At 39.0% G+C, this 8344-nt stretch overlaps 1 annotated feature.

Moving 5' to 3' along the window:
* Positions 1942-3141: an enhancer, noted in NCBI's record as "P300/CBP strongly-dependent group 1 enhancer chr3:114958135-114959334 (GRCh37/hg19 assembly coordinates)". NCBI's record gives its function as "activates an origin of replication core promoter dependent on BRD2, BRD4, P300/CBP, MED14 and CDK7 cofactors, with strong dependence on P300/CBP, by STARR-seq in HCT116 cells {active_cell/tissue: HCT116}" and the evidence as "EXISTENCE:reporter gene assay evidence [ECO:0000049][PMID:35650434]".

Here is an 8344-nt window from a genome sequence, read left to right on the forward strand (position 1 = left end):
TGTTGTGAATAATACTGCTAAGAACATGGGTGTACAAATATTTGCTCAAGTCTCTACTCTTGTTTCTTTTGGGTGTATATCTAGTAGTAGAATTGTTGGATCACATGATAATTCTATGTTTAATTTTTTAAGGAACTGCCATGCTGTTTTCCACAGGGGCTACTCTATTTTACATTCCCAGCAGCAATGCACAAGGGTTCCAAAAAAGATATTTTAAAAACTGAAAGTTAATAGTAAAAACACTGCAAAATATTGGGAAGGAGAGCTAGGTTACAAAAAGCTAAGTGGAAGAAAGTTAACCTGTTTCATTCTCACCTTTTAATTTATCTAAACCAGAAGAGCTTCTCAAGTGATGAGTACTGAATGAGTTTCAGATATGTCCTTCTACAGATCCTCTATGTTTTGTGGAACGTATGAGTGTAGTATGGAAGGTGGGCTCTGAGGGGATCAGGCAGGGCCTGGGGTTTACAGCTTGCAGCCTGGAGCAGCCTCTCCCATTTACCCAAGGGTGCCTTACAAATACTTTCATTTTCCATATGGCTAATATATGAAAAAAAGCTTGGAAATGCTGCTCCAAAGTGTAGGGGCAAAGTTAGGATTAAAATCTGGAAGAAATGCAAAAGCATAAAATATTTATTCAACAGAACAATCTAATGAACGTTTACTCTGTTCTAGGATCTAGGTCTGACTGGGGGTAGCTGGGAAATACTGTGGGGTAAATAAGATAAAGAATTATACTTTCAAAAAGCTTGGTTTCTTGAAGGTGAAGGACAAACAAATAAGCAGTTACAGTACAGCATGGAAAGTAACTCACTGGGGGAAGGGGGACCACAAAGTGTTGTATATAGCCACCAGCCCTCACCCATTCCGATCTTGAGATTGAAAGAGAGAGCTCTCTGAACTCTTCTCATTTTCACTGTTACGAGAAGCCAAATGAAATATCTGTTTCTCATTTTATGGGATGTGGATGTTCAGGGTACCTTAGGCATGTCAGGAAAGAAATAAACTGCCTAGACTGAGTAGAGCTGCTTATTAAAATTTTTAGTAGTGTTTGATGGACAAAGTGTCAGGATTTATAAAAAGCATTTGCATTATAATTGAGAGAAGAATTATGAAGACTCCCTCAAGGAAGCCATCCCTGAGAACTTCTCATGTCTGAACTCCAGGCTGAGTTGGGCTCTGGTTCTCCCTGCTCTCAGCACCCTAGGTTTATTTCTTATGGAAGTACTTATTACCCAGTACTGTCATTGTCTGGTTACTTACTGTGTTAGTCTGTTTTGTGCTGTTATAACAGAATACCTGAGACTGTGTAATTTATGTAGAACAGAAAATTATTTTCTCACAGGTCTGGAGCCTGATAAGTTCAAGATCAAGGCACCAAAATTTAGTGTCTGGTGAGGGTCTTCTTGCTGTGTCCTCCCATGGCAGAAAGCAAAAGGGCAAGAAAGCAAGTTAGCTGAACACCTTCTGAAGTCTCTTTTATAAGGGCTTTAATCTATTCATGATGGAGAAGCCCTCACCACCTAAACACCTCCCAAAAGGCCAACTTCCCAACACTGTTGCATTGGAAATTAAACTTCCAACACAAGAATTTTGGAGGACATATTCTGACCACAGCACATACCTAAATCTCCCACCTCACTCCGTGTGTTATGGAGACAGGAATTGTACTCAGAAATGTTTCTGGGAATAAGTAAGTGGAGCAATAAGATAGCTGTAAAGCAACTGGGACCATTTATATGAAGCAGCCAAGATACCCACAATAACTTGGAGAAACTGCTCTGGAAAAGTAGACATTAAGTCTCCATTGTTGGGGTTTCTGACAGCTGTGGCATGGTGGCATGGTACTACCATAGTTCTTCTACTCTAACACTTTCAAATACCCTTTTAGGTTTTTTCCCTAAGTTCTCCCTCTTTCCTTTTTCCCAGATAATCAATAGATGATTAAATGTCTATGTGAATTGCAACTGTCTGAGTTCATTGTGTTATTGTATTTTTTGTTAAATGGGTATAATTTGAAAACAAGACCTAGAAATACTGCCATACTTTATCTGGAGTCATCTTAGAAGATTATTATTATCAGCATAATTATCTACTTTCCATACAACTTGATTGTTCACATTATATATATTTTTGACTTGAGGTGGAAGGATGACAAAAGGGTCTCATTTAACCTTTTCTGTTTTTAAATAGAAGCAAGATTATTTCTAAAAGTCAATAAAGGATATCCCAGAGGAATTGAGGAAAAATGGGATGAGGACTTCAGTAAAACATACTTTGGTGACAAACATTTTGATATAAAATTTTGTAAAAGCACACACATCCTGATGGGAAGAGGATGAGTAATTTCTTTTTAATTCAGAGCAAGTGTTCTAATCTGGCTGAAATTCTGGGAAGTGCTGGAAATCCCCAAAGCAAAGTGCCAGATGCCATTTCTGGATCCTGGATACGTGGGCTTGGTTGCTAAGATGATGATGCCTCCTCCCCTTCACCACATTCAGCTGACGCCTGAGCGACAGGGAGTTGATGTACGCAGAGCACGGATCTAACAATGTCAACTGTGCTGACATCATCCTAGCTGTGCAGGGCTGATGGGAATTCAGAATATCAAACATCATATCAAGGGCAGTGAGCAGGTGTGACTCATTTCCCTGGAGAAGTGGGAGAGAGGAAGGGAGAGGGCAGGATTATCTCACACTGACACACACACAGCCTTTAGACTGAGCTATTTGCGTGGCTTATTTAAAAGCAGCAAAACAATGTTCTGTCTCTCTCTTCATTTTTCTACCGGAAACACTTTATATTCTAGTCCTATGTGTCTCAGCATAGAATCGAGCCTTTCAACATCATAGTGTATTAAAATACACATTATTTAGGATCATTACTTTTTATGTTACATAAACCCAACTATGAGAACAATTCAAACAAATAAATTTTATGTTTTTATTTTCTCTTCAGGTATCATCTAGTGAACTGTTCAGATGCAACTGAATTGAAAAGGAGCTGAACAAAAGATCCTGAGAGAGGTCTGATGAGACTGCTTTGGTATTACCAAATATATACAGCATTTCTGTATTCTAGCAGAGTATATTGCTTGGTACGAGAGAAGGGGTGCATGATAAATGCTCAATAATTGCTCCTTGGGTGAATAATACAAAAAGACTGTACGTTTGTAAGAATGAGCGTTAATATATAGATTCTCATGTATTTTATGGAGTTGATTATGTATCAGTTGACTTTAAGGGAAAATGGTAATAAGACTGGATACAATAACAATTGTGGTGTTAGTGAAGTTACTGGTTTCACAAGTCTCTTATCCATTGGAACATCTTATTAGAATGATTAGGCTAGGGCAATTAAATCAGAAAGGAGTGTACATCAAAACAGTAAACAAAACAAAACTAAACCCTTCTGCTTCCAAAGGCTTAGTGTTTAATAGCAATGAAAGAGGTACAGTGAACTGACATGGTTGTATTCTCTCCAAAATGACCCTAACGTGTCTTATCACTCTGAGAAGTACTAATTTATCTATGTCTTGTGTCAGCCATAACACAAGGAACAAAAGGACAAAAATTGTTGTTACCCTGTACTCAGTGCTAAAAAGTACCACTTATACTTCCATTTACTCTGTGTGTTTAGTAAAATGGCATATGTATGATAGATTGTGAAGCATATTGGAATCTATGTGTATTGGTTTTTATTGGTATAGCTTGAACAGCACAGAAACAGAAAGGTGTGTTTCAGCTCAATCTATAGGATACTACTTGTACAATACAGATGGTGTTGGAGGCAATAGGAGGGAAGAACATGAAAAGAGAGGAGTGACTTCTATAGAATTATATGTGCAATGACATAAAGAACTCCAAGTTCTTGCTATGAGATAATAAGTAAGTTGATAAGAGAGATGAAAGGATATTAGCATGTTCCTAGAAGGCATCTTAAATTTTGAAGACAGATGTTGAGATATGTAGAACAAATTTTCATTTCATTTTCTCTGCTTTGAAATTACTTGGTAAGGGATTATTCTTTCTCTCTGTCTCCAATCACAATTCCTAATACAGACAGTTTGAGATTCACACAATGTTTAACGGTAATGTTCGATTGACGATAATGGTGATGATGATGATGTTGATGAAAGTGATAATCTGTAGACCCTAGACTAGTGATTCTCAAACTGGCTCTTAGAGTCCTCTAGAATATTTTAGGGGAATATGTATATGTACCTGAGGAGTTGCCGTCATAATAGTCCCTGGATCATGACTGCTATAAAAGTCCCCTCATATTTTCTTCTTTCACTTCCAGAAGGACCTGCCCAAAAGTTGTTATTGGTCCCTTTTGAGATGACTTATTTGACATGATGTGCTGCTATAGGACTCTCTAGGAAGAAAGTAGAAAGGATAAAGAGCCATGAACTCATTTTTCTTGAGATAGATTATTACTTCAGTTGAGAGTATGTGGTTAACACTGTTTTATTAACCCATAGAGGGAAAATATCATCCCTTATCACCAGTGGACAGAACAACACTGCAGCTGTCTCCCTTTGGGGGTCAACCTGACTACCCAGCCTGAGATGCAAAGGAACAATTTAGAAGCTCTGTGGGGAAAATTTTCATAACTGTTTGGAAAATTCTTCTTCTCATATTTTGTTTGGGGAATGTATGATTGGGAGTCATGCCTACATTTCTTTTAATGGGAGCCATAGTTATTTTTCTTCAGATAATCACATCTAGTGAAGAAAACTCCTGGATAGTGCTGCTGCCACAGAACAGATATTAAATTAGATCAGATGTAAAATAAGAATATGGGGTTCTTAAAAACTTCTTGAGTTTGAAATGCAGAATAGAGATAAAAATAGTTAAAAGCAGCGTTGGCTGTGTCTCTGTTGACCACAGAGGGTTATAAAGCTATTATTAGTCTCCTTCTAGAGGCTTTATGATAGAATTATATTATCAAGAATTATTATTAGAGTTGAATTTCCTTATTTATCTTGGAAAACTACAACCTATGAGATTTCAGGAAAAAAATATATTTATATATATATATATGATAAATGAGAGGTGAACTAGCTGTGATACAGACTAAAACTGCTGTCACTAATAAAGCTTAAAATGCAGTGGTTTAAACAAAACAGAGCTTATTTCTCTCTCATGTAACAGTCCAGAGTGGTAGGGTGGCTCTGCCAACCTCAATCTGGAGCTCCCATCTCTCAGTCCAAGAGAGCAGTTTTATTTCTCTCCATCTTTCAGATAGCAAATGGTAAGGAGAAAAGAAATCAGGGCATTGCATATTTAATTGTTTTTTAAAAAAAGTCCTGAAAGTGACACATATTACTTTCTTTCACATTGCACTTGTCAGTAACATTAACCCATTCAGCTGGAATCGAGTCTTAAGAAGGTCTTTAATTAGGTAGCCAGGGGTCAGGCATGGTGGCTTATATCTATAACCCCAGAGCTTTGGGAGACTGAGGCAAGAGGATCACTTAAGTCCAGGAGTTCAAGGCTGCCATGAGCTATGAACACACCATGGCACTCCAGCCTTGGTGAGAGAGTGAGATCCTCTTCCTAAAAATCAAAAATAAAAATTAGGTAGCCATGTACTCAGATTAAACCACTGCTATGGAAGAAAGGGAAAGGGAGAGCAGGTATTGGGACAACTAAGTTTGCCACAAGGCCTTGCTGCAAAGCCCCTAGAAGATCTGGGCTGGGAAGTTGCTGAGAAATAGCAAAGGACTCTACTACAGTGCCCTGAAAGGCACCTTTGTAGTCTAAAAGAAGCACTCTAACTGAAAGGAAAGTAATAGGTTTATACCTGTGTCAGTATTCAGAGGAGGAGCACCCATATGGGGAAGTGAGAATATGTAATGCCAGGAGCAATTGTTTCTCCTGGTGATGCCCAAGAGAATGATTGTAACATTGTGACCCTAAAGCTTCCTTAGAAGGCTTAGCAGGGATATGCATATCTTCAAGAGAGGCTAAGAAAGCCCAAGCTTTGGCCAGAAAATAATGACAGGGCTGGCCAATAGACTTGGAAGCCGAGTAATGAGGAAAAAGGAGACTTTGGGACTGTTATTGTGGGTGGCTAATGGAAAGAAATGTGCAATGTAGCAAAGTCTTGCAAACATTGATCTCCACCCTTAGAATCTGAAGAATTAATAATGCTAGGAGCTTCTTTTTGGAGTCTCCTAGGAAGCAAGAAAGTAAAAGAAGCCATAATATCCAAGTTTTTGGGAGCAGGATGAAGAACTACCAGACTGGGCTGAAGAAAACTTGTACTTGGAGACCATAGCAAATTGCCATAAGGGAGAAAGGGCATGTTAGTCCTCTAATTATTAACTTGAGGGAAAGTTGGAGTTGACTTTCCTAGAAATTCTACTTGGTGGAGGGGATGATGGCTTCCCTCCAGCAACTTTTAGATTGGAGTTGTAAAAACATTGGACGTTCAGTGATGGAAATTTGGGGATATAATCTGCATTTAAGACTAACTAGGGGAGGCTGGGCGCGGTGACCCATGCCTGTAATCCCAGCACTCTGGGAGGCCGAGGAGGGTGGATCACGAGGTCAGGAGATCGAGACCATCCTGGCTAACATGGTGAAACCCCGTCTCTACTAAAAAAAAATACAAAAAATTAGTTGGGCGTGGTGGCAGGCGCCTGTAGTCCCAGCTACTCGGGAGGCTGAGGCAGGAGAATGGCGTGAATCTGGGAGGCGGAGCTTGCAGTGAGCCAAGATCACGCCACTGCACTCCAACCTGGGCGACAAAGCCAGACTCCATCTCAAAAAAAAAAAAAAAAAAAAAAAAAACAACAAACTAGTGGAGTCAGAATGGCTGTTATTAAGAAGTTAAAAATAACAAACATTGGTGAGGTTATGGAGAAAATGGGACTCATACTCTCTTGGTGAGAGGGTGAATTAGTTAAGCCACTGTGGAAAGCAGTTTGGAGATTTCTCAAAGAACTAAGAATAGGATTACTATTCCACCCAGTTGTCCCATTACTGGGTATATACCCAAAGGAAAAGAAATCATTCTACCAAAAAGACATCTGCACTTGTATGTTTATTGCATCACTTTTTACAATAGCAGTAGTCTTTGCTATTATAAAAAGCAAATGTAAAAAGCAAACGTTTTACAATAGCAAAGACTATTGCTGTTGTAAAAAGCAAACGTAAACAACCTAGATGCCCATCAAAAGTGGATTGGGAAAATAAAATATGGTACATGTATACCAAAGAATATTATGCAGCCATGAAAAATAATGAAATTGGGTTCTTTGCAGCAACATGGGTGCAGCTGGAGGTTGTTATCCTAAGCGAATTAATGCAGAAACAGAAAGCCAAATACTGCATGCTCTATTGTATAAGTGGAAGCTAAATAGTAGGTACACATGGGCATAAAGATGGGAATCATAGACAGTGGGGACTACAAAAGGGGGGAGATGCAGTGGTTTAAAAAGCACCTATTGGACACTATGTTCATTATTTGGCTGATGGGATCAATAGAAGCCCAAACTTCAGCATCACAAAATATACCCATATAAGAAGCCTGCACATGTATCCACTGCATCTAAAATTAAAAAAAAAAAATTAACAGGTGCAGAAAGTGGTATGAGAAATTTTCTATTTGTTAGAAAATTATATGATTTTCTGGAAAAGGTTAAGTTGATTGTGGGGACATTGTTAGCTAATGTGACCATTTTCTTAGGAGGTCCTACTGTTGTCAAGGAGGCTATCATATGGTAGGGCATGGTGGCTCACGCCTGTAATCCCAGCACTTTGGGAGGCCGAGGTGGCTGGATCACCTGAGGTCAGGAGTTTGTGACCAGCCTGGCTAACTGATGAAACCCCATCTCTACTAAAAATATAAAAAATTAGCCAGGCGTGGTGGCAGTCTCCTGTAATCCCAGCTACTTGGGAGGCTGAGGCAGGAGAATGGCTTGAACCTGGGAAGTGGAGGTTGCAATGAGCCAAGATCACGCCACTGCACTCCAGACTGAGCAACAAGAGCGGAACTCTGTCTCAAAAATAAGTAAGTAAATAAATAAATAAATAACAATAATAATAATAAATAAATAAAAAAGAAGGCTATCATATATTCTGTACAACTTAAAAAGGTGCAGGATTTTCCACCGTGGTTTTAGTTAAACATATACTGTGATGCAAAAATTACAGAGGCTTCACTAACCCCCAGAAGATAAAGTTTCATGGCTCCAGACATAAGACATGGTCCACAGAGTTGGTGGTGGTAGTTGGCAGGGCCGGGTATGAGTAATGCACATAGAACCCACAACTAATCCAGCAGATTCTCCTGGCTCAAGTTGTACATGAGTCACTCATCCTCAAAAGATAAA

Source organism: Homo sapiens, chromosome 3, assembly GCF_000001405.40.
Source record: "Homo sapiens chromosome 3, GRCh38.p14 Primary Assembly".
NCBI lineage: Eukaryota > Metazoa > Chordata > Mammalia > Primates > Hominidae > Homo > Homo sapiens.